General features: G+C 49.5%; 1 protein-coding gene and 1 pseudogene across 18 annotated transcripts in view, besides 2 other annotated features; one reads left to right on the forward strand and one right to left on the reverse strand.

Annotated features, from left to right (window-relative positions):
- Nucleotides 2061-2300: a silencer, noted in NCBI's record as "silent region_8447". NCBI's record gives its function as "represses an Ori minimal core promoter by ATAC-STARR-seq in GM12878 lymphoblastoid cells {active_cell/tissue: GM12878}" and the evidence as "EXISTENCE:reporter gene assay evidence [ECO:0000049][PMID:35858748]".
- The window catches only part of RDM1P5 (RDM1 pseudogene 5), a 34940-nt pseudogene continuing 12169 nt past the window's right edge, over nt 2219-24989 (forward strand). For both annotated transcript variants that reach the window (NR_174975.1, NR_036551.2), the window contains exons 1-4: nt 2219-2359; nt 8622-8746; nt 17667-17791; nt 18268-18533. The product of NR_174975.1 is annotated as an RDM1 pseudogene 5, transcript variant 2 (transcript). The remainder of the gene's footprint in view (nt 2360-8621; nt 8747-17666; nt 17792-18267; nt 18534-24989) is intronic.
- The window catches only part of PLXDC1 (plexin domain containing 1), an 89655-nt gene continuing 73178 nt past the window's right edge, over nt 8513-24989 (reverse strand). For 5 of the 16 annotated variants that reach the window (XM_047436434.1, XM_047436435.1, XM_047436428.1 and 2 more), the window contains 5 exons: nt 24304-24364; nt 23113-23248; nt 17650-17685; nt 15056-15216; nt 8513-13159 (listed from right to left, as the gene is read on the reverse strand). In XM_047436434.1, the coding sequence (XP_047292390.1) occupies nt 13040-13159; nt 15056-15216; nt 17650-17685; nt 23113-23248; nt 24304-24364 (514 nt within the window). In that variant the 3' untranslated portion in view covers nt 8513-13039. Of the gene's footprint in view, nt 13160-15055; nt 15217-17649; nt 17686-22296; nt 22429-23112; nt 23249-24303; nt 24734-24989 lie in introns of those variants that run through there. The other 11 variants (XM_047436432.1, XM_047436427.1, XM_047436424.1 and 8 more) reach the window with 8 other exon arrangements.
- Nucleotides 17174-17962: an enhancer, noted in NCBI's record as "H3K4me1 hESC enhancer chr17:37228227-37229015 (GRCh37/hg19 assembly coordinates)". NCBI's record gives its function as "activates a minimal SCP1, AML or CMV promoter by ChIP-STARR-seq in primed H9 embryonic stem cells {active_cell/tissue: H9 hESC(primed)}" and the evidence as "EXISTENCE:reporter gene assay evidence [ECO:0000049][PMID:30033119]".

Raw genomic sequence — 24989 nt, forward strand, 5'->3', positions numbered from 1 at the left:
ACTGTCTAAAAACAAAACAAAACAAAACAAAAAAAACCCCATAACATTGTTATAGTCTCAGCAATGCACCAAGATTTAACAGTCGCTCCTTGTCTGAGATAATGCGCCCCAGAGTTCTTTGTCCTACCTCCAAGACAATTAAGGAGAGCAGACACAAAGGTGAGGTTAGAGTGAAAGTTTAATAAGCGAAAGAAGAAAGCTCTCTGCCAGCAGAAAGGGAGTCCCACACGGGTGCCCCTATGAGGCTGATGTCCAGGGTTTTTAAAGACTGGGAAGGGGAAGGAATGTGGTTAGTTGCCCCAGGACCACTCAGGAGCTGAAATGATGATTCCTAGATGCTGCTTAGCTTGGCCCAGGACCAATCACGAGCTGAAATGATGATTCCTAGATGCTGCTTAGCTTGGCCCAGGACCTATCAGGAGCTGAAGTGAAAGCTTGGCCCCGGACCTATCAAGGGCTGAAGTGATAATTCACAGAGGCCAAACTTATAGTCCAAAAAGGAAAGTAGAGTGTCCACTGGAACCCACTGGAGCCCACTGTAGCCACGCCCACAAAAGGAGAAGAAACTTTGTCCTGGGAGGCCGCTGACTATACAAAGGACAAAGACATTTCTATGCCAGGTCTTGTTCCTTTATGTGAGTGAGATGGAAGTTTGTTGAAGTTTTTATCCAAATGGACCTGAGGTTTTTCTATCTGTGCAGCCGTGGGCATGTCTCCAGGCACAACACCCTGTGCCTGTTCCCTTATGGGTGCCTGCAGCTTGAATGTTTTCCCAGGCTGCTTTTTCTGTTGTGTGGGGATGAGGCACTGACCTGTGGGCCGGGAGCTCTCTGGGGACCCTTCCCTTGTTATCTACCTAAGGCAAGCTAACTAACTCCTTTCAATATTACTATTGTAAAACCTAAGGGCCGGGCGCGGTGGCTCATGCCTGTAATCCCAGCACTTTGGGAGGCCGAGGCGGGTGGATCACAAGTTCAGGAGATCGAGACCATCCTGGCTAACACAGAGAAACCCCGTCTCTACTAAAAATACAAAAATTAGCCGGGCGTGGTGGTGTGTGCCTGTAGTCCCAGCTGCTGGGGAGGCTGAGGCAGGAGAATGGCTGAACCCGGGAGGCGGAGCTTGCAGTGAGCCAAGATTGCGCCACTGCACTCCAGCCTGGGCAACAGAGCAACACTCCGTCTCAAAAAAAAAAAAAAAAAAAACCTAAGATTGGCGTTCTAGGTATTTTTCAGACCCTGTATTCTGATGGACCAGCTGGGACCACTCAGATTGGCAAACTGGCTCATCTGGTCTTGTGGCCCCCAACCAGGAATTCACTCAGCACAAGAACACAAGTTTTGACACCCTATGATTTCATCCTTGACCCAACCAATCAGCATTTCCCACTCCCTAGCCCCCAGCCTGCCAAACTATCCTTAAAAAACCCTAGCTTCCAAATTTTCAGGGAGGCTGATTTGAGTAATAATAAAACTCCAGTCTTCTATTTAGCTAGTTCTGTGCTTATTAAACTCTTTCTCTATTTCAATAATGCTGTCTCAGTAAATCGGCTTTTCTGGGCAGTGGGTACAATGAACCCATCAGGTGATTACACTGCTCTACCACGTAGCTGATTATGACACCTACCCCTCTCAGACACTATCAGCTCCAATTTGGACCTATTCTTTGAATTTTTTTTTTTTTTTCAAAATTGATCTCTACTTCTCATTCAAACCTCCCATCTCCCACATCATCTGACCTCCACAAGTTCACGTACACAATTCCCCAGAATCACGTAGGACAACTAGGAAATTCTTTTTAAGGATTTCATGCTAGACTGTTAATAGCTTAGTGAGTTATACTTTTATTTGAATATGTTAAACTCCTTAAAAAAAAACCTCTTAAGTCAAAAGATTGCATCTTTCATGGTTATTTCCCACAAGCTCAGTAGGTAGTGCTAATACTTAGTACCCTAATCTCCAGCAGGAGTGAAGATGAAACTGGCTGCTATAAATATGTCCCTACCCTTTCATGCTGTCAGGCCATTTTGGGACTGTACCCTAAACATGCACTTGAATGGAAGTTCTAAACTCAGGGATCGTGGCGGTGTGGCTGGAGGACAGGAACAGGCTCAGAGGCCGGCCCCAGGTAGGAGGGGCGAGGGAGCGATCCGGGCGCCGCCCCTCCCCTCGCCTGCGCCTCTTTTTTTAAAAAAAGCGTGGGCGTGCCTTGCGCAGGCGCAGTACTGCGCGAGCCTTAGCCGCGCAGGCTCAGCGAAGGGAGGCTGGCGGATCTGCTACCTTTTGCGGTTCCCACCAAGAGTGACAAAACCTTGCTAGTGTGGGAGCTGAGCTCTGGACCCACGGCCGACGCTTTGCATGTGAGCCTGGGCCAGGGTGGAGGGAGGGATGGAGAAAGCCGCCCACCTGCTAACTGGGAGTTCCAGAGTCCTGCTTCAGCACCTCACCTGCCTCAGCCTCTGCTGAAGGACTCTTTTTTTTTTTTTTTTTTTTTTTTGAGACACACTGTTGCTCTGTTGCCCAGGCTGTAGTGCAGTGGCGCGATCTCTGCCCACTGCAGCATCCGCCTCCCGGGTTCAAGCGATTCTCCTGACTCGGCCTCCGGAGTAGCTGGGATTACAGGTGCCCGCCACCACACCTGGCTAATTTTGTATTTTAGTAGAGGCGGGGGTTTCACCTTGTTGGCCAGGCTGGTCTCGAACTCCTGACCTCAGGTGATCCGCCCGCCGTGGCTTCCCAAAGTGCTGGGATTACAGGCGTGAGCCACCGCGCCTGGCCCGCTGAAGGACTCTTAATTCTAGAGGGGACCCCAGCAGACAGCTACCCCAAACAGATTTTTAGAGTCCCGGAGAGGTACCTCTCCAGTCAGCACATTTTACCTTCTAGGACTTCTTCAAGTTTAGGATCTTAAGAAGAAAACTTGTTGGTTAAGTGGGAAGTGTTTTGAATTGCATCCTTCTCGAAGAAGCGTTTGGGGAATATGAAGGCATGGGCGGTTTTGTTTTCTGGGCGTGAGATTTCATGCGCTTATTTGGCGTAGGACCACCCCCACAGCTTTCACTGTTCACAGCATTTTCCCAGTTTGACCTTTTGTATTCAGTCCGGGTCTTCCCAAATGCTGCAGTGGCCCATTCTGGTTTCTATGGCGTCATTAAGTTTTATTCAGCAATGGCTGTCCACGGAGCCCAAAAGGCATGCCACCGGAAGCAGCTTTTTCAGACATCTCCTGTCAAGGTGGCTCCAAATATGGAATTCCTAGCTCCGCTGAAATGAAGTGCTGAATTCAATAATAGATTAGCATTTGTCCAGCACTCTGGTTTACAGAATATTTTCAGATGCATTGCCACACTAATCTTCCAGTTCTCTGGTTTTTTTAGATTAAGAAACTCAAACTCAGGGTGGTTAATTGACTTGCTTAAGGTTCCTGACAAGAATTATGGAAGCTTAAGGTTGAACTCAAACCTACTGATGCTAAACCCCATGTCATTTTATGCTGTCCCTTTTTAAGAAATCTCAGCTTGGGCAACATAGTGAGACCCCATCTCTACAGAAAAAATTTAAAGATCAGGCTGGGCACGGTGGCTCATGCCTGTAATCCCAGCAGTTTGGGAGACTGAGTCGGACGGGTCACTTGAGACCAGGAGTTCGAGAGCAGCCTTGGCAATATGGCAAAACTCTATCTGTACTAAAAATACAAAAACATACAGTTCCCTATTGCGCTGTGCCTCAGTGGCCTCCTGTGTAGGGTAGAGGTAGCAACAGCACCCACCCCATAGATGACGATACAAGTAAATCTCCTAAAATGTGCTTGGAACATAGGAAACACCCAGTAAATGTGAGCTGCCGGCAGCACCACCAGCAGTACCATCCCAGAGTCCAAAAGTCAGTAGACCAGGACCTTTGGTTTTAAGTAATGTTTACCTCTGCCTAATTTTGTTAGTTGTGGCTCCTTCTTCACGGCTAAAGAGGGCTAAGTGCTTGTCTACAGAGGCAGAGGGAAGAGTGAGCACAGCTGGGAGGATTCTGCTCAGTCTGTAATGGGCCTGGGGGAGAAGAGCCCCAGGGAACAGAGAGGGGTGTCAGCAGCTGTAGAGAGGGGATGCTCCATCCGGGCGTGGTGGCTCACACCTATAATCCCAACACTTTGGGAGGCTGAGATGGGAGGATTGCTTGAGCCCAGGAGTTCAAGATCAGCCTAGGCAGAAAAACAAGACCCCATCTCTACAAAAAATAAAATAATTAGCCAGGCATGATGGTTCCCACCTGTAGTCCCAGCTACTTGGAAGGCGGAGGTGGGAGGATCACTTTAGCCCAGGAATTCAAGGCTGCAGTGAGCCATGATTGCATCGCTGAACTGAATCCTGGACAACAGACTGAGACCCTGTCTCTAAAAAAAAAAGAAAGAAAAAAAAAGAGAGAGAAAAGGGAGGCTCTGAGAACGGGAAGGTAGGCCCTACAGGAGGCTGCCCTTTTGGCCTTGAGGAGGGGCTCTTGGAATTGCTTAATGTTCCTTAGGAGAGCAGAGTCAGTGCACAGGTTTGCTGAGAGCAGCATCTTCATCTCTTAATTAAAAATGGGATCTAAGGCCGGGCACAATGGCTCATGCCTGTAATCCCAGCACTTTGGGAGGCTGAGGTGGTCGTATCACTTGAGGCCAGGAGTTCAAGACCAGCCTGGCCAACCTGGAGAAACCCTGTCTCTACTACAAATACAAAAATTGACTGGGTGCAGTGGCTCATGCCTGTAATCCCAGCACTTTGGAAGGCCAAGTAGGGCGGATCACCTGAGGTCGGGAGTTCGAGACCAGCCTGACCAACGTGGAGAAACCCCATCTCTACTAAAAATACAAAATTAGCTGGGCGTGGTGGTGCATGTCTATAATCCCCGCTACTCGGGATGGTGAGGCAGGAGAATCGCTTGAACCCGGGAGGTGGAGGTTGCAGTGAGCCGAGGTCACGCCACTGCACTCCAGCCTGAGCAACAAGAGCGAAACTCCATCTCAAACACACACACACACACACACACAAATACACACAAATTAGCCGTGCATGGTGGCACACACCTGTGGTCCCAGCTACTCAGGAGGCTGAGGCAGGAGAATCGCTTGAACCCAGGAGGCAAAGGCTGCAGTGAGCCGAGATCATGCTACGGCACTCCAGTCTGGGCAACAGAGCAAGACCCTGTCTCAAAACACAAAGAAACAAAACCACACAAACTTTGAGGGGGAGAGACTGAAAAAGGGGAAAGACAAGCTGGAAGGGAAGGTTCTAACCCAAGACTCTGGGAAGGTATGATGAAATTTTATTGGCCCATATTCAGGTGATTTTTTTTTCAGTGCTTTTAGCTTTGTGGAAAACTGTAGGCATAATTTAGCTATCTCTAGGGACCAAATGTAAAAATGTTTTATGAACATCAGAAAAATCATTCCCCACAAAATTTCTCTCTGGATTTCACAGTTGAAGTAAAGATTCTACCCCTCTTCCTTCCTCCCTGCACCTCTGGCCCCATCTTGGCGAAGGAAGTAATCCATTGTCCTCCATCCAAGAAGATAAATTAGATGGAGGCATCGCCTGGTGCTCTGTAAGGCTTGTGAGGAGTACTTCTAATTCTTCATGTGGGAGGGTCGCTAGTGTGAGCAGCGGGATGAGAAGGAGGCAGCAACAACTAGGACATTCTCAAGCTCCTGGGACTGTGCAAATAAATAGATGGTAAGCTCACAGTTTCGTGAGCCAAGAGCGAGGATCTGAAGTCATCACTAGGCATCTCTTCGAGGATCTCTACAGGCCTGGAGCAGTCTGTCTGTCATAATCCATAATCTGCTTCTATATTAAACTGTGGCCATGTGGTTCTGGCAACACCCTGAGGTACACAGAGAACAACCTCAGATGGGAATCCAAAAATCTGCACTTGGGGTTTTTCTCTACTTACTAGCTGTGTGACCTTGTGCAAGTCACTTAATGGTGCCTGGCACACAGGCGTTTAATGAATGTGGATCAAGTGAATAAATAAGTAAGCCACCTCCCTGAGCCTCAGTTTCCTCATCTGGGAAAGGAAAAACAGTGCTTCTCCAACAGGCTGCGATCATGTAGGTAGAATTGCTTCCTAAATGGTGCATCTCAAACTTTCATGCCCTTCACAGGAGTCACCTAAGGAGCTGCTCAAATGCAGATTCGGACTCAGTAGTTCTGGGGTTGGGGGGCCTGAGTGCTGCATTTCCAGCTAACCCCAGGGAATGCTAATGCTGCCTGGCTGGACCACACTTTATTATTTTATTTATTTATTTATTTATTTTTGTAGAGACAAGGTCTCGCTGTGTTGCTCATGCTGGTTTTGAACTCCTGGCCTCAAGCCATCCTCCCATCTTGGCCTCCCAGAGAGCAGGATTACAGGTATGAGCCACTGTACCTGGCCTGGACCACACTTTATTATACAGATTTACATTTTTTTAAAGCAGGGTCTTGCTCTGTCCCCCAGGCTAGAGGGCAGTAGCGTGATCATGGCTCAATGAAGCTTGGAACTCCTGGGCCCAAGCCTCCCGAGTAGTTCGGACCACAGGGCATGTACCACTGTGCCCAGCTAATTTTTTTTGTTTTGTTTTTGTTTTTGTTTTTGTTTTGTTTTGAGAGAAAATGTCTCCCTGTGTTTCCCAGGCTGGTCTCAAACTCCTGGGCTCAAATAGTCCTCCCACCTCAGCTTCCCAAAGTGGTGGGATTACAGGCATGAGCCACTGTGCCTGGCCCTGGACCAGACTTTAACTAGCAAGGTTCTATATTCTAAAGTGCTTTCCAGGTGCTTGAAATCATTATTTCTTCAGCCAATGGGGTGGGAGGGCTGTGCCAAGGGTAGAGGGGACCAAACATGGCGAGGGAGCTGGGGACACCCACACATGGGGATAAAGGAAAATCTTGAGTTCCTTCAGGGAAATCCTAGCTAGCCCTGAGAAGTAAATCAGCAACTTGGTAAGCAGGAAGGTAATAGTAGTCTAAAACAATAGCTGAGGAAGTTAGAGCCAGGAGATGTTTGGTTCCCCTCTCTACAAACTAAAGATAACATCTTAACGTATGTCCCTGAGTTGTTTTTCAGAAGCCCAGACCCCTCCAAAAGGGATCCGCTGGCATGTAGACCTCAGATAAACGGGTGCTGAGGACTGACTCTGACTATAGTTCGTTGTTCTAAATTTCTTCCTGAGGGACCTGGAGGAGGCCATTGCCCATGAGCCAGAGCTAACATTCTTTTCTGCTGATCCCACATGTCTAGACAAAGCTTCGCCTCCTGAACCAATCGCAAATCAGAAAATCTTTGAACCCACCTTATGACTTGTGGGTCCTGCTTTGAGACGTCCTGCCTTTTTAGGTCAAACCAACGTATAGCTTCCATATATTGATTTATGATTTTACCTGTAACATCTGCTTTCCTGAAATTTACCCCTGCCTTTTAAAATCCTTACCTGTGGCTGGGCACAGCGGCTCATGCCTATAATCCTAGCACTTCGGGAGGCCGAGGTGGGCAGATCACTTGAGGCCAGGAGTTTGAGACCAGCCTGGTCAACATAGTGAAACCCCGTCTCTACTAAAAATACAAAAATTAGCTGCACGTGATGGTGCATGCCTGTAGTCCCAGCTACTCAGGAAGCTGAGGCAGGAGAATCACTTGAACCCAGGAGGCAGAGGTTGCAGTGAGCTGAGATCGCACCACTGCACTCCAGCCTGGGCAACAGAGTGAGTGAGACTCTCTCAAAAAAAAAAAAAACAACAAAAAAACCTTACCTGCAAGCCATCAAGAGTTCATATCTTAAGCATAAGCCACCCAATTCTCCTTGCTTGGAGTCCTGCAAACAAATGCCTTCCTTTCTCTATTGCTGCAAAGTCTCAGTGTGGACATCTGGTGTTATTGCGCCAGGTGAGAAGACCTGGTTTGGTTCTATAACATTCCAATGTGCCCAGGATTGAGGAGATTCCTGGGATGCAGGACTTTGTGTGTTAGAACCAGGAGAGTCCTGGATAGAACAATTTGGTCACCCTATCGGGATAATGAAAGAGAAAGGCATGCTTTGGTCTAAGTTGCTGTGTGACCTGAAAAAGGACCAGGCAGCTGATTGCTCAGGTCCCACTTTAGACCAGTTAGTCTAGTACCTCCTATTTCACAGGGGTGGAAGCCAGCCCAGAGAAGTCCAGTGACTTGTCCACATCACCCAGCTACTCAGGGGCAGGGCTGAGGCCAAGCTCCCACCTTCCCACTCCCCGTCCAGCTCAGCACCTTCTCCATCAGTTCACGTTGTCTTCTCTTAACACATTCCTCTTGATTTGGCGAACACAGCATGTTTATTTATAAATTGGCTTGTTTGGAGCCTGAAATGTGGCATCACTGATTTTGGCTGTGAGGTGTTCACATTTTTCCTCTCTTTGTTTTGGCTCGCTAAACCATGTTTTGTGAGCAAAACCACAAAGTAATAAAAACACAATGAGGCCGCTAAAGTTGTTCAAATGCAAAGCATCCAGAAATGTGACAGCATAGACTTTCTCAGATTTATTGTATGTCCTCAGACAGTAGATAAAAATGCATGGGGTTTACTTCCAGGGATTTACAGACCAATATAAGTAAACAGCTGGGGTTTCTTTTTAGGCTGTTTCTCTTGGAGGTGGTGCAGGAGGTTGAGGAAAGCACCTCTGATGAGCAGATAGCTGGAGGCTGTTCCCACAGTCATGTCTCAGCGAAGAAGTCGGAGTTCAGCAGCCATCAGAACCAAGGTATGTGTGGTGATCTTCGGAATGCCACTCCAAATCCTTTGCACTTTCTTTTGCACACAGCAGGAGTTGTAAAAGAATGCTTCCTTTTATTATTAACACTGAGAATCCATGCAGAGAGTTTACACTAAACACATGAATACATTGTGTTTTAGAAGGCTGGGTGCCCTCAGTCCCCAGATCTTTGAATTCTACCATTAAGTTCAGGTAGGTTTTTGGAGACAGAGATTGGCCGCATCATATCTGTGACACTGACTCTTCTGGTGTAGGTTTGCTTGGCCAGGGAGTCTGAGTGCAGCCCCTGATCAGTGCTTCATGCCAATCTGTGAGTCTGTTCCAGGAACTAGAGGAGAGAGAGCCTTAGCCTTGCCTGCAACCAGATGAATGGTTAGCTTTAGTGGTGAACACTTTGCTTTTTGAATAGTGTGGTTGGCTGGCAGCTCTTGTCATTGTTTATCTCTCAATTTAACAAACCAAGCTGAAGCCTGAGCACAGCTACAACCTTGTCCAATCTCTTTAGCAACAAAATACCTGTGTGTGCATATCTTATTGCTCAAAACATTAAACAAGGCTGTATACAAACACACACACAAACATACACAGATACACTGTACAGGAGACCCCTGATAAAACACACAAATTTTAAAAATTTATTTTTAAACAAATGCAGTGGGATGATCATAGCTCTCTGCAGCCTTGAACTCCTGAGCTCAAGCAATCCTCCTGCCTCAGGCTCCCAAGTACCTGGGACTACAGGCGTGAGCCACTGCACCTGGCCATGTAGTGAAGGACTTTCTAAGCAAGACCTTGACTTGGAAAGTTGCCACCAACTCCCCAGCTCTGTGAGAAGTTTTAGGGGCAGGGGGTTTAAATTATCAAATTTAGCTGGTTTGCAGGGGGAGTTCTTTCCCAGTGATGAGTTGGGGCTGCTTCTCCCCAGAGTAAAAAATGGCAGCAAATAAATGTTAGATCACAGCCTCTTCTTAGTCATACCCATTTATACATGTCATGAGGGTCATTGCCAAAGAAAGAAGTGAGTTAAGTGTAAGGGAATCTGGTCGGGGGTGGACCAATAACCAGACTCATCCGAACGCTTGGCTGATGGTTTTCCAGTTGCTCCGTGGTTTATCCTTTGTGAAGATGCAAGTGACAATCAGAGTTGGAAACGTGGGGCCTCAGCTCTGCTTGATAAACCAGGCAAGGAAGAGCTGAGGGTGGAGTAGGGGGGTGCCGGTGGAAGGAGGGTCTGAATTTGAGGAAGAAAAAGGACAGTGCAGCAAAGAGTTGGGTTCCTTTCAAGCTTCTAAAGGACACAGTGGGCTGTAACAGAGCTCTCTGAATGAGGGAAGCACAGCCCACCAGCAGAGCATTTACCACCTGTGTGTGTCTCAAATGGCCAGTGGGGCAGTTCCTGCTGTGGCCTGATTCCATGGACAGCACCACTCATCTCACTCCCCAACTCTAGCACACGTTTTCCCACTGGGAGCTCGGCCAACCATTTTGGATCCCTGAAGGGAAAGAATGTCAGGAGTGGAGGAAGGGGTGGTGATGCGGTGAAGCCTCTGCTGCTAGCCCCTGCAGGCAGAGAAAGTTCCAGATGCCTCGGCCTCAGTCAAAGCAAGCCTGGCTGACCCATAGGATGTCAGTGGCATGGGGAGTGGATGTATTTGGCGGCAGATGGCCTGTTTGTTTATGACAAAAAGTACTAGAGATGTGTCACCAAGAGAGGCCTATGGATTTCTTAAGCCAAAACACTTGGACAAAGTCTCCCAAAAAAATAGAACCAAGCATCTCATAGAGTTAATGATTGTCTACAGGATCCCTGACAATGTAAGCATTTCTTTTTCCGTTCTTTTTTTTTTTTTTTTTTTCGGAGACAGGGTCTCACTCTGTCACCCAGGCTGGAGTACAGTGGCATGATTATGACCCCCCACTGCAGCCTCAACCTCCCGGGCTCAAGTGATCCTCCTGGCTCAGCCTCCCTAGTAGCTGGGACTACAGGTGCACCCCACCACACCTGGCATTTTTGTTGTTGTTGCCCAAGCTGGTCTCAAACCCCTGGGCTCAAGCAACCCTCCCACCTCAGCCTCCCAAAGTGCTGGGAGTACAGGCACGAGCCATCAGGCTTGGCCAAATAAGCGTTTATTGGACAGATCCAGTTCTCCAAAGTTTAGAGCAGGTTAACTTGGTAGCTATGGAGTATGACCAGATGGAGACATGGGTCTTGTGGCCGGCCCTGCGACTGGCTGACAGTCCAGCAAGGCAAGGAGGTAGGTACTTCACACACTGTGCACACCCATCTCAGGCAGCCGTAGACCCCTACGCCTCCCCACCCCACAGGCACATGCAGGCTCCAGGGAAAGCAAGTAGTTGGCAGGTGCCTCTCCAACCTGGTGTCTTTGGGCATCCTTGCCCTGGGCGACACAGTGAGACCCTGTCTCAAAAAAAGTCCCTCCCATGCCAGCTGCCTGTGTCCCAACCACTCAGGTGCTTTGCCTCTCAACAGAATCCACCTGCAGTTCCCTGCTAGGTATGTCTCAAGGAGCCCTCTAGCCACCCGACTTGTCTTTAATGCCTATAAAATCCAGTTCAGAGGAGGAAAAATATTTATCAGGCAAGTCCTGCCTTTGGAGGTATGTACAGGCACTGACATCAGAACAGGGCAGTGAGTAAACCCGGCACCGAACAGGCCATCAGAATAGGGAGCCCCACATGGTAAATGTGGCTGCGCATAGCAAGCTCACCCAGGGAAGGCTGGGCTGCAGGTTGGGGTAAAGCCCTTGATGCAGGCTGTAACATGTTTTGATGCAGAAGTTATTGGTTCTGAGTAGAAAGGGCAAGGTAAGAGAGCAAAGCCTAAAAATGCAGTTTCCCCCTTGAGTTCTTTTCTCTCCTCTTATTTGACTTCCCTCCCATGATAACATGCCCCAAGGGCTGAGAGCCACTATACTGTGTTTAACAGATGGAGAGAATACCTTCTTTAGGCTTTCAGAGCTACAGAAGCTGGGGCTAAAATGCCAACTCTATAGCCATGAGGATCTGCTTTCTTTTTTTTTTTTTGAGACGGAGTCTCGCTCTGTCACCCAGGCTGGAGTGCAGTGGCACTATCTGAGCTCACTGCAACCTCTGCCTCCCAGGTTCAAGTGATTCTCGTGTCTCAGCTTCCTGAGTAGCTGGGATACAGGCAAGCGTCACCACACCCAGCTAATTTTTTGTATTTTTAGTAGAGACATTTTAATTATGTTGGCCAGGCTGGTCTCAAACTTCTGACTTCAGGTGATCCGCCTGCCTCAGCCTCCCAAAGTGCTGGGATTACAGGCGTGAGCCACTGCACCTGGCCAAGGACCAGCTTGTGAGTCTAGGGAACCTGGAATGCAGCAGCCCCAATCTTGACTTTAGTTAACCTGTGTCATATGCAGGGGCTTTAAAGGTGGCCAGGAGCAGGGCATCTGGCTATCTGGCTATCTCCAGGTAGTGGGTCGGGGAGGCTCTGAGACTGCTACAGAGCAGACCATTGACAGCCTGTAACTGAGTCCAAATTCATTCTGCTTGCTGCGTCATAGCCAATACGTTGAGAGACAAGGAGTTGGAGCAAGGAAAGGGACTTTATTTCGGAGAGCCAGCAAACCAAGAAGATGGTGGACTAATGTCCTAAAGAACCGTCTTAAAATTATGCGGGCTTTGCCTTGTCTTTTATGTTTAGGTCGGGGGAAAGGAAGGGGCTGACAACCGCAGACATCTGGACACCAGCAAGGGTCCAGGGGAGGTTTGCAGAACTTCTTTGTCCTTGGCTAACAGTCTGTCATGTGACAATAGCCAAACCTCCTCATTCCTATAAATCTTTAACAAAAACAGTTAGCTGTTTACATGCTTCCCCTTTAATCCCAGAGTTAGTTTTGCAAACGGCATGATTCCTGTTTTTGCGTTTTATGTCAGTGCTCTAAAGTTATCCTAGCCTAGGTGCAGGAATAGGTAAAGGCCCCTTAAACAAAAATGGAGTTAGTTATGTTAGTTCTTCTGCTGTTTCATGGTTACAAGACACAGAAGAGAACCCTTGCATCAAAACAGGATGAGATTAGGTTGTTGTTCCTATAAAAAATCCATGTGGTTGTTTTTTGGCCCCCTCTTCAATATTCGGGGTGTGCTGACGAAGCGAGCAGCAGCTCTGGAGCCATAAACCACCATCTCATCTCAGCCCAGGGCATGCTGGGAGAGGCCAGGAAAAGTCACTTCTCTTCTTTGCTTTAACTGTCTTTTCTGTGGCCTCAAAGTCTTCAAAGGGGAGACTTGGTGTTCTCAGCACTGCTCAGCCTCCATGAAGCCCTCCTTCTCATGGCCCGAGGGCTCCACCTCCGCATAGGTGGAATGGTCAGGGTGGCTGCGAAACTTCATGGCTGGCCAGTGGTGAGGTCTACGCTGCAGAAGGCACAGAGGCAAAGTCAGTGGGCATGCCCCCGCCCCCATGGGGACCCCACACTCCTGAGCGACAGAGCCAACCAAGACTGTCTCTTATAAGGGCCCTGGGGCACTTGGGCCTACCAGGAGCCACACAACTGACCTTCAGGGACCCTCTCCCTAAAATGTTCCGTGCTGTGATCCCCCAACCACTGGGAAACCTGCCGAAAGCTAGAGTGTGGAAGGAGGACACTTTATCCTTCACTGTGTGGTCTGCAGAACTCACAGCTGAAAGGTTCAGCAATACACCAAGTGGAGACCTAGGACTGCAATGTGAGGGAGTGGCTCAGAGATGGCTGGCATGATGCTTGAGGCTCTGAAAATGCCAAGATAACCCTCCAAGGTAGCACAGGATCCACATCAGAGTCAACAGGGGGCTTATTAAAATGCAGATTCTGGCCTGTGCAGTGGCTTATGCCTGTAATCCCAGCACTTTGGGAGGCCAAGATGGGCAGATCACTTGAGGCCAGGAGTTCAAGACCAGCCTGGCCAACATGGTGAAACACTGTCTCCACTAAAAATACAAAAATTAGCTGAGTGTGGTGGCACGTGCCTGTAGTCGCAACTACTCAGAAGGTTGAGGCACCAGAATTGCTTGAACCCAGGAGGCGGAGGCTGCAGTAAGCCAAGATTGTGCCACTGTACTCCAGCCTAGGCGACAGAGTGAGACTGTCTCGAAATAAATAAAATGCAGATTCCTGGGCCTGCCTTAGACCTGCCCTATCAGAATCCCTGTGGCCCAGGGATCTGCAGTTCCCAGGTGTTACCCAGGTAGGCTAAGACTTCAGAATGACTAAGCCTCCTAAGAAACTGGGGGAATGACCTAGGCCTGTGGGTTAATGAGGCTGGTGGGCTTGTGACCCACGTGGAAGAAACTAGGGTCACAGAGGCACCACTGCTGCACTCTGTGGGGAACTCGTAAGAAGCCAGAAGTGGAGGACTGGGGGCAGGAGCTGCTGAGCTCTGCAGCCCCGAGTGAAGGGGGCTGAGCCTCACATCCCATGCTGCCCCTCAGGCTGGCTCTTCAGAATTGAGACATTCAAAACTTAGTATCCTCAATTAAAGCTCCCAGAGGGCAGCTCTTATCATTATTTGGCTTGTCTATTTTATTTTTATTTCTATTTTAGAGATGGGGTCTCCTCTATTGCCCAGGTTGGAGTGCAGTGGTATGGTCAGGGCTCACTGCAGCCTCAAACCACTGGGCTCAAGGGATCCTCCCACCTCAGCTTCCCAAGCGGCTGGGACCACAGGTACGTGCCACCACGCTGGGCTAATTTTTTAAATTTTTGTAGAGACGGGGTCTCACTCTGTTGCCCAGGCTAGTCTCAAACTCCTGTGCTCAAGTAATCTTGCCTTGGTTTCTCAAAGTGCTAGGATCTTAGGAAGGAGCCACTGCACCTGCCCCTCAATTTTAGCCTTAAAAGCAGGTATCAGTAGGCAAAAGAGGCAGAGACCCTGGTTCCCTCATGGCTTTGAGTAAGTACTGAGCCTGGCATTTGGGCATGAGAGACCATAAATCACTGGAGATAGGCTGCACAGCCACTAGATGAGCACTATGTGGCACTGTGGCCTTCTTTCTTTCCTCTGGGGATTTTTTCTGATTTCACAAATGGGGGAACAAAAGCAGAGGGGCTGTTCCACAGGACAGGAGGGCCGAGGGAGTTCTGAGGTGCTGATTTATCAGGGTGCAGGACTTAACGGGCGCCAGCCATCTCGAAATGTGCCAGGATGGGGTGGATGAAGTTTTCTCAGGTATGTGGCAGGGGAGAGGGAGAAGGGGAGAGGCAGGGACCGAATGGCCCAGGAGACGCCGACGCAGAAGCAGACAGGAGCCCTGTGGCCACAGATGACACGGACCTCGATGAAGAAGAGCGCAGCATTGGATGTGGGGTGGCCATTGATGTAAATTCCAGCCAGGATGATGGCCGCCACGAGGAGGACTGCCAGCACGATGCCCACGATGGTGCCCAGGTGCACAGGAGTGCCCTTTGTCTTGGGGGACAGGTTGTTCTGAAGGCCTGTGGAGAGATCATTAGGGCAGACAGGGGCTGCAGGGGAGCAGGGAAGGTCGAACCATGGGGTCTTGGGTTCTAACAAAGTCTCAGAGATGAAAGCCGACAGAGCCTTTGGGTCCACTTATCCAATACAGGAAGAGGTTGGGTGGGAGTTGGAATCATTATGAGTAAGGCATTCATGTTCTTGACACCATCTGGGTAGTTTTCCAAAATCATGTAAAAGTTGCCCCAAATGTCTAATAAGGATCATAAGAGAAGTTCTCTCTGATATCTGTGCCACTACATAAGTGCTATTAAGGAATTCACAAAGGGCATCGGAGGGTTAAGAGTTTGGGATCTGAAATCTGGCTGCCTGGGTTGAAATCTATGCTCTGCCACTTACTAGCTGTGTGACCTTGTGCAAATTATCTAACCTCTCTGTGTCTTCATTATCATTTCTTTTGAACAAGGATAATAACACCCACCTAATAGGGTTATTGTGAAGGTTAAAATTAGATGATCCATGTCAAGCACTGAGGACCATGTCTCCCATTTTGGATGACTTCAATAAGTATTAGCTATTATGATGGCAAATGACCATAGTTTTTCCTATCACTGTCCACTCCCAGATTGTGACCTCTTGCAGGGCAAGGATGATGTCTTATTCAACTCTGTGTCCTCAGCTCTTAGAAAAACTGGCAGGGGCTGGCCGCAGTGGCTCACCCCTGTAATCCCAGCACTTTAGGAGGCCGAGGCAGGCAGGTCACCTGAGGTCAGGATTTCAAGACCAGCCTGGCCAACATGGTGAAACCTTGTCTCTACTAAAAATACAAAAATTAGCCAGGCATGGTGGCACGCGCCTGTAGTCCCAGCTACTCAGGAGGCTGAGGCAGGAGAATAGCTTGAACCTAGGAGGCGGAGGTTGCAGTGAGCCGAGATCGCACCACTGCACTCCAGCATGGGCGATAGAGTGAGACTCCGTCTCAAACAAAACAAAACAACAAAACTGGCAGGCCCGTCAGAGAAGCTCAAAGAAAGTCTATGGGATGATCTAGGTCCTCTGGAAGCTAATAAGCCAACAGTCACCCTCTGAGAACATCCTAGGCACTTGAAATACGTCCCGGGGGAGAGAGTATTTTCCACAGAGCTGGAAGCTCAACCCCTTTTGTGCATGACTGAGGTAATGGAAATAACAGAGAGGTTAAGTGATTTCCCCACAGACACACAAATTCAGTGCCCACCACTAAAAAACCTAGTTCCCTGACACTACCTTGGGTGGCTATTTGCCTCTTCACCCTATCCTAAAAGAGATAATGAGGTAGAGAAGACAGATGAGCAGGTTGGCAACAAAAATGTTGCATTCTTCCTACATAGCTAGTGGGTGGGTTGGGAGGGAACTAGGGGTGGCAAGTTTTAATGGGATGTTGCATGCACTCAGAACCATTGTCTTCCCCATCCCCTTTGCTCTGCTCTGCACTCTGTAAGCAGAGGACACCCAGGAGAGAAACTATCCTGGGGCACTCCAGGGCATGGCTAGGGCCTCTGTCTGCCAACAGGTGGGAGGACTGAGGTGAAATGCCCCAGGTGAGCCTCCCCTGACCTGGATGGCAATCAGCCCGCAGCCTGCAGTGGCTCTGATGATTTGATGATGAAGGCTTCTGCTGATGAGCACATGGTGCACAGCGAGGGGATTATGGCCCAGCCACCCCCACAACACACACACACACCCACTGCCTATGGAGGAGCAATGGCTCCACCTCTGCTGGGGGACACCATCACACTGTGCTGCATTAATAATCTTTCCTCTCCTGCTGGAAGCCCTGATGACAATCTCCAGCCCCCGGAGCTGGAAGGCACTTTCATCTCTACTCTTGCACAGGTTGCCGCAAAGGCCTGAGCTGGCTCTGGGCAAAGGGCAGGGGAGGTGGGGGCAGCTCCCACCCTCAGAAAGGAGATTATCCTTCTAGGTAATCCTAGGAGGCTGCAGGGAGTCCCACCTTCTGGCATCCTGCAAAAATTGTAGCGGACAATTTTATGTCCTCTGCCAGCCTGAGTGAGGAAAGAGAAGCTGCTCTCCACCCCTTGCTGACTATGAGCCCATGGGGATCAGAGGGGATGGCCACAGGCCCCACCTATACCTGCCCTGGCTCAGTCCTTCCCCTCCTCCCACTCCTTTCTGGGCAGTGAATATTCAAGGACAGAGAGCCAGGAGAAGAACCACAGGAGGTTCAGGGCTGAGATGAGAAATGTCTAGGGTAGACATGTTCCTTCGATCTAGGGCACCTGTGCCCAGAAGCCCCCCTGCCTCCCCACCCAGCAGGAGGTCTGGGATGCTCAGGCTGCCGTTGCTCCCTCTCCGCACTCATAAAAATAGCCCAGGCGACTGCTGCACCCTCTTCTGGGGTGGGTCCAAGAGGCGCTGGGTCTGACGCTGAGGGCAGGCAGTTCTGTACTCACCGTCTCCTCCTGCATAGGGATTCAACTTGGTGTCATCTTCAAAGAGAGAAGACAGAAGGAGCAAGATTAGTGGAATCATTACAGCCTTTGTCACTCTGAGTCCAGATGGGATGAAAGTTCAGCCCAAACTTTCATTTTAGAGGTAAGGAAACTGAGGCTCAGAGAGGGGAGGAGACTTGCTCAAGTCACACAGCAGTTGAGTGTAGCTGGAGGCTGGGGAGTAAATGAGCGGGGACTGGTGAGAGATGAGGCTGGGAGTGGAGGGCCGGCTGCCTGGAGAGCAATAGGAGGCCATGCACGTTCTTCTGTGGGGCGACAGAGAGATGTGTAAGGGTTTGAAGAGGGGCTTTATGTGTCACAAGGTCAGATCAGCCTGGAGACTCCCTGGGGCTGCAGTGTGCAGGAGAGAGTCCCAACCCACTTTCTGTCTATACCTCGAGGCCTGTAGCCTGTGGCTTTCTAAGTAAGTTTCAAGGGTCCACCCTTCCTGTGGTTCCTTCCCATGCAGATTTTTATGGGGAAAGAAAAGCAAGAGTTCCATGTCAGGAGAATGCTGTAAATGACTGAAGATTCTTGCCCTAAGCACCTGAACTTTATTTATTTATTTATGTATTTTAGAGAGAGGGTCTTGCTCCGTCACACAGGCTGGAGTGCAGTGGTACAATCACAGTTCACTACAGCCCCGACCTCCTGAACTCAAGTGATCCTCCCACCTCAGCCTCCCGAGTAGCTGCGTCTGGCTAATTAAAAAAGATTTTTTTGAGATGAGGTCTCACTGTGTTGCCCAGGCTGGTCTCCAACTCGTGGGCTCAAGCAATCTTCTTACCTCAGCCTCTCAGAGCACTGGGATTACAGGCGAGAGCCACCTCACCTGGCCTAACAAGGTATTTAAACACAACTTTGAATCTATTTCGTTACTGCAAATTGAAAACAATGAATTGATTCATCAAAACTAAGCAAAGGAACTTAAATATCACTGGGCAAATTAACTTGATTTGAATCAACTTGTTGCAAATCTAGACCATTGAAGATCAATTATGGCTCAGTCTGCACCTACCACTGGTAGACAAAAGGACACAGTGCCGCCCACTGCCAGTCCCTCCCAGAGTGACTGAAGGTGGCCACACTGTGCCCACGCAGCCTCTCTCCCACTCACCAAGGGCTGGTTCCCAGCTGCCATCTTGCTGGGGCTCCATGTAATGCACATTGGCTCCTGAGTTAGTGGATCACATGAGAACTCACACAGGAAGAAATGCATGCAATGTTGATCAAATGAGTGGTCATTTTCTGTTGTTAGTTGTCACTTCTTGTGGCTATCAAGGTGTTCTGTTCTGTTGCTTATAAGATAAGCCCTTCTGCACACAGTTGTTCTGGGTGAGTGCCTGTCTCTCTTTGCAATCAAATGCATGGGCTTTGTGACAGCTACTTGCCACTCAGAGGTCATCTGGTTCATTTAAGTGAGTAGCGTTTGACTGCAAGTGAACGGCTCTTAAATCCAGGCCCCATGTCTCCCACTCCTCCTGCCCTGCTGCTTTCTACTTCTGCCTGCCCAGGCAGGCCCCTCTGGCTGGAGTGCTGGGTCCCTTCATTCAATCTCCCTGTTAGAGCCTGTACCCTCATAGAATGTATGGGAAAGACTCTATCCCACACCTGCCTCTGCAAGTCTCCCTGTGTGGGCTGTAACCACACAGGCAGGAGAGTGACTCAAACTCTCCTGCCAAGATGCCTTGCAAGTTGGGCATGTGGGGGGAAGTCATCATTAAAAATGTTTTTTCTTATAAACCAGGCACAATGGCATGTACCTGCAGCACTTAGTAGGTTGAGGTGGGAGGATCCTTGAGCCCAGGAGTTCAAGTCCAGCCTAGGTAACATAGCAAGATCCTGTTCCACCCTCCAAAAAGTTTTTTCTCTTATAGATGTAACTTCAGAATCTTTGCCACCTCTTCCAGGACTGGAAGGACATAGAGCCCTAACTGTCTTCACTTTTTACTCTAATGAATGTTTTCTGTTGGGAACCACTACACAAAACATGGAAATGAGACCCATTCCTTAGCTGGCAGGGGATGCACACAGATAATAAAACTGGCAAACAGAACTCGCTACCTCTGTAGGACAGAGGACCTACATGGTGGGCTGTAGGACAGCCCAGGGGGCTCAGTAATAACAAGTCAGGATTTAGGCTTGGCCCCCAAGTGCTGTGCCCTGGGCTCCCCACGCCACCACAGACCCCCTTCTAGCCTCTGACACTGTGCCTCCACCAGACACTGTCTGGCTAAACCCTCTGGGTGGGGCAGGGTATGTTTGCAGCACCCCTCCCCGCCCTGGCCCAGTGCTGGGCTCAGAACATGCCCTCAGTAAGCCTAGGGGGTTAACTGGCAGTAACTAATCAGGGACTACCTCCTTGTAGGAGGAGCTTTCTTTGACTGGAAGGTTAACCCTGGACTCTGTCACCAGCTCCCCAAAGGGCAAAGTTTCTTTCTGCTTCTTTTTCTTTTCCTTTTTCTTTCTTTCTTTCCTTTTCTTTTTTTGAGACAGCGTTTCACTTTGTCACCCAGGCTAGAGTGCAGTGGTGCAATCATAGCTCACTGCAGCCTCAACCTCCTAGGCTTAACCAATCCTCCCACCTCAGCCTCCTGAGTAGCTGGGATTACACATGTGCGCCACCACGCCCAGCTAATTTTTGATTTTTTGTAGAGACATAGTTTTGCCATGTTGCCCAGGCTGGTCTCGAACTCCTGAGCTCAAGTGATCTGCCTGCCTCAGCCTCCCAAAGTGTTGGGATTACAGGCGTAAGCCTCCTCTCCCAGCCTCTGCTTCTTTTTCATTGAATCCCCTGCAGCACCACCACGTGCTCTGCTCTCAGTGCCAGCTCCTTGTTATTCCAGAGCAACTTCAGAGTAATGGGAGCTGTCGGAATCTGCCTCACTTTTTCACACTTTGCTACTCTGCCCTGACCCTGAATTCACATAGACCCTTTTCCATTTCTTTCAGCACCAAGAGAGGCAGTGGGGTTGAGGGGAAAGATCTCTGCTTTTGGAGCTAGATGAAACCTGACTCTATCCCTTCTTGGCTGTGTGACCTTGGGAAAGTCATCTGCCTCTCTGAGCCTTAGTGTCTCCTTTATAAAACAGGGATATAACAGTATCAAGATCCAGGATTGTTGGGAGGACTGAATGTTAATTTATGCGCTACTTTAGCATCCTACTGGGCATATAGTTGGTCCCCACAAATGCTGATGCTTTCTATCATTCATTCATTCTCCTCCACAACCTCCCCCCAGCCAGGTCCATGGGTCACTGACTTTGTTCTCTAGTTTTCTAGGTAACGTTTAGAAAGGCAGGGGACACACCAGGTGCAGTGGCTCACGCCTGTAATCCTAAGACTTTGGGAAGCCAAGGTGGGTGGATCACATGAGGTCAGGAGTTTAAGACCAGCCTGGCCAACATGGCAAAACCCAGTCTCTACTAAAAATACAAAAATTAGCTGGGTGTGGTGGTGTGCACCTGTAGTCCCAGCTACTTGGGAGGCTGAGGTGGGAGAATTGCTTGAACCTGGGAGGCAGAGGTTGCAGTGAGCTGGGATTGTACCACTGCACTCCAGCCTGGGCAACAGAGCAGGACTAAGTCTGAAAAAAAAAAAAAGAAAAAAAAAAAAAGAAAGAAAAAAGAAAGGGGACATTGTGGAAAGAACATCTCACCACTTACCCCTCCCATAACCCTGAATAACCTACTTTGCCCCTTTACGAGCCTCTTTCCTTATCTATAAGAAAGGACTATGGGCCAGGCATGGGGGCTTAGGCCTGTAATCCCAGCACTTTTGGAGGCTGAGGCAGGAGGATCGCTTGAGCCCAGGAGTTTGAGATCAGCCCGGGCAACATAGTGAGACCTCATCTCTACAAAAAATTTTTAAAAATTAGCCAGGTATGGTGGTACATGCCTGCAGTCCGAGCTGCTTGGGAGGCTGAGGTTGGAGGATTGCTTGAGCCCAGGAGTTGCGGGCTGTGGTGAGCCATGATCACTCCAGTGCACTCCAGCCTGAGCAAGAGTGAGACCCTGTCTCAAAAAAAAAAAAAAAAATCCTAACATAGGGCTAGAGGGGGAAGAAAAACGTGGCTGAATAATGTTTTAAAATGTTAACTTTTTTCTTCTTTCCTTTCCTTCTTGCCATTATTCCTTTCAAGCAGATATTTGGTTCAGGGGAGGCTGTAAAGAACCCACAAGTCTTTCAGTCTTAGCCTAAGGGGAAGGGGCTTTCAAAGCTGGATGCAGGGTTTTGTTTTGTTTTGTGTTGTGTTGTGTTGTTCTGAGACAGGGTCTTGCCCTGCCACCCAGGCTGGAGTGCAGTGGCACAATCTTGGCTCACTGCAACCTCCATCTCCCAGGTTTAAGCAATTCTCCTGCCTCAGCCTCCCGAGTAGCTGGGATTACAGGCGCCCACGACCATGCCCAGCTAATTTTTGTATTTTTAGTAGAGATGGGTTTCACTGTGTTGGCCAGGATGGTCTCGAACTCCTGACCTCGTGATCCTCCCACCTCGGCCTTCCAAAATGCTGGAATTACAAGCGTGAGCCACCGCGCCCGGCCAATTTTTATATTTTTAGTGGAGACGGGGTTTCACCATGTTGGTCAGGCTGGTCTCAAACCCCTGACCTCAAGTGGTCTGCTCACCTCAGCCTCCCGAAGTGCTGGGATTACAGGTGTGAGCCACTGTGCCTGGCCGAGATGCAGGGTATTGAAAAAGGATAAGGGAGAGGAATGTCTCAGACATAGCTACAGAATCCTGGAGGGGGCATGGGAGAAAGGGAAGAGATTTGAGGCCTAGGACCGGAGGAGCCTGCACAAGGCTTCCTGGGACACCGCCTGGTGCATTCACGGGGATGGACCTCTGGCAGCTTCAACCAAGACCCCCAGGCCTCCAGGTAGCAGGGAAGCCCCTAGATTGCAAGACCTGAATAGTCAGGGTGGATGGACAGCTGAGGTGGAATTCCCCATCCATCACTCCAGGGCCTGAAAGTGAGAAGTCAGGTGATCATACAGAAAAACAAGGCAGCCTTTCTCTCACGCCTGAGTGTATGGACTGAGTTCATACCTGCTACAGGGATGAGCCTTTTCAGGTTCTGTGAGGACTGCTATTAAGATTAGCTGAGATAAGGTATATAAAATACCTGGCACTGGCCTGGGCTATTAATTTTTCCCCTCTTCACAGTGAATTGTCTGTAGCCCTGATGTGGGCCAGTACAGTGGTTAGAGCCCAGGAGTAGAGTTCAAGTTCTAAATCTGGCTCTGCTTCTCACCAGCAAGTGACCTAAACTGTCTGAACTTCAGGCCCCCTTAGCTATAAAAGGATGGGGCAGTTCCCATCCCATGAGATCATCCCTGTCAGGGACAGAGAGGGGGCCCCAGAGGGGTGGGTAGCTCTCCTTCCTGGCCTCCTCTCTGCTCCCCTCCTGGGCTCAGAACTTACCTTCTGTGGTGAGGCTGTCGATGAAGAGGGAGGAGGAGGTAGTGGTGAGGTCTCCATCATAGGGGCTGAAGGAAGTGTCAGGGGAGGCTGAGTCGTGGTCCTCATCCTGGAAGTCCTCGCACATCCTGCCCTCTGCCTGCAGGAGAGAGCCAGTGCTGTGTCTTGAATGCATTTACACCTTTCCCTTCATCCTGAAAGCATCTTCTCTTACAGGGCAATTTATCTGTCAGCTGCTTCAAATCCTTCCTCAAGGAAGGGGCTGAGATGCCAATCTTAAATAAATAGAGCAAATCTGAACGGTCACCAACAGCTAACTTCAAAAGTAGGCGGCTGGACAGGGTTTTTTTAAAGCCCAGACTCAGACTAATAAATAGACTGTGGTAAGTGTATGGCCACAGGGTCTGGAGAGTTGATATTTAAATGCTGGGCCCGTCACCTTCTAGCAGCGAGATGCAGGCCAATTCATTAAACTTCTCTGAGCCCCAGTTTTCCCCTGTGATCGATCAATGGGGGCAATGGCCCCCAGCTTTTGGTTCAGGTTAAATAAGAGCGAGGGTAGGGCAACTCACAGTGACATGCTTGGCACATGCAGCATGCTTGCTTTGCAAGAAGATATAAAGGGAGGGGGCAAAAAAGAGGGCACAGATGAATAGACCCATCTATGTTAGTCTATGGTGTGAGAATAGGATGCTTTCCACCTAGAATCAGTGTTGAGTGTACTGGAAAATTCTTGCAGTGAGAAGGAACCTGGATGGGATTCTAAAGAGGAGATGCCTGGAACCACCCTTCTCACTCCCAGAATGACTGCCTTCCTCAAAAGCCAGAGGACCAGAGGCTTAGCAGGTGCATCATTAAGGTCAGCAGGTGCACAGTCTCCCAGAGGAGCCAGCAGTGGCTGAGGCCATGCCCAACATCCCCTCTGCATGCACCAAAAGAATTCCTTGAGAGCTGCCCACTTAAGGTCAAGGCATCAGAATGCTCGTCTCAGAGACCCACAGAGCCCTCTGAAACCTTCCAAAGTGGGTCTGATTGGCTCAAGGCAGTCTGGAAAACAAATCTTAGATGGAAGGGAGGATATTGCCAAGAGCTAATGCCACCTTGAGAAGAGTTTCCAGGGGCAGGCCCTACTGGCTGCCCTCCTGTTCCCCACCACCTGGCACAGGAGTTGCAGCAGATACTTATGCTTCTCACCTCCTGTGCACAGCCATAGTCCATCCACTCCTGGCGATAGCGGTCAAAGCCACTGGAGCATCTGCAGGAGGACCAAAAGGACAGAGTTATGATGGGATTGACAAAGAAGCCTTCCCCTTTCACTGTTCAGTAACAGCTCTCTGCTGATAGTGAGAAGAGGAGCCAAGGTCCCCAGGCTGAGGTAGTCAGGCACTCCCATTCCCTCTACTTCCCCGGAAGATGAAGGTATTTGTGGCATCCCTGCCTTCCTTCCCACCCAGCTCCCCAGGACCAAGGCCACATCTGCCCATGTGAGTAGGTGTAGGGGCTAGCAGGACTGCATGAGCTCCAGTGATCCTCAAGGTCGCCTTGACTCTGAGCTGCCGTGACACTGCTGAGAATCCAGGCAATTCACATACGTGTTTTCATCCTGGTTGTTGAGGGACCTAAACTTGGGAAAGAGAGTAGGGCTAAAGGTAGGCCTCAGCAGACTTAGTCAACACCTCCCCATGTGATCATTCAAGGGCATTTCTGACGGTCCTGCCAGAGAGGCTGGGAGACAACTGGCTGACAAGGGTCTCCGGAGAGGGCATTGGACAGCTCAGCTGGGCTGGAAGACACCAAGCGCCCCTGTAGGGAAAGGATGGGGGCATGACGATGCACCAGAGAATGTTCTCCATGCATCATTCCCAACTTTTCGTTCTTTA

Source organism: Homo sapiens, chromosome 17, assembly GCF_000001405.40.
Source record: "Homo sapiens chromosome 17, GRCh38.p14 Primary Assembly".
NCBI classification, from domain to species: Eukaryota; Metazoa; Chordata; class Mammalia; order Primates; family Hominidae; genus Homo; species Homo sapiens.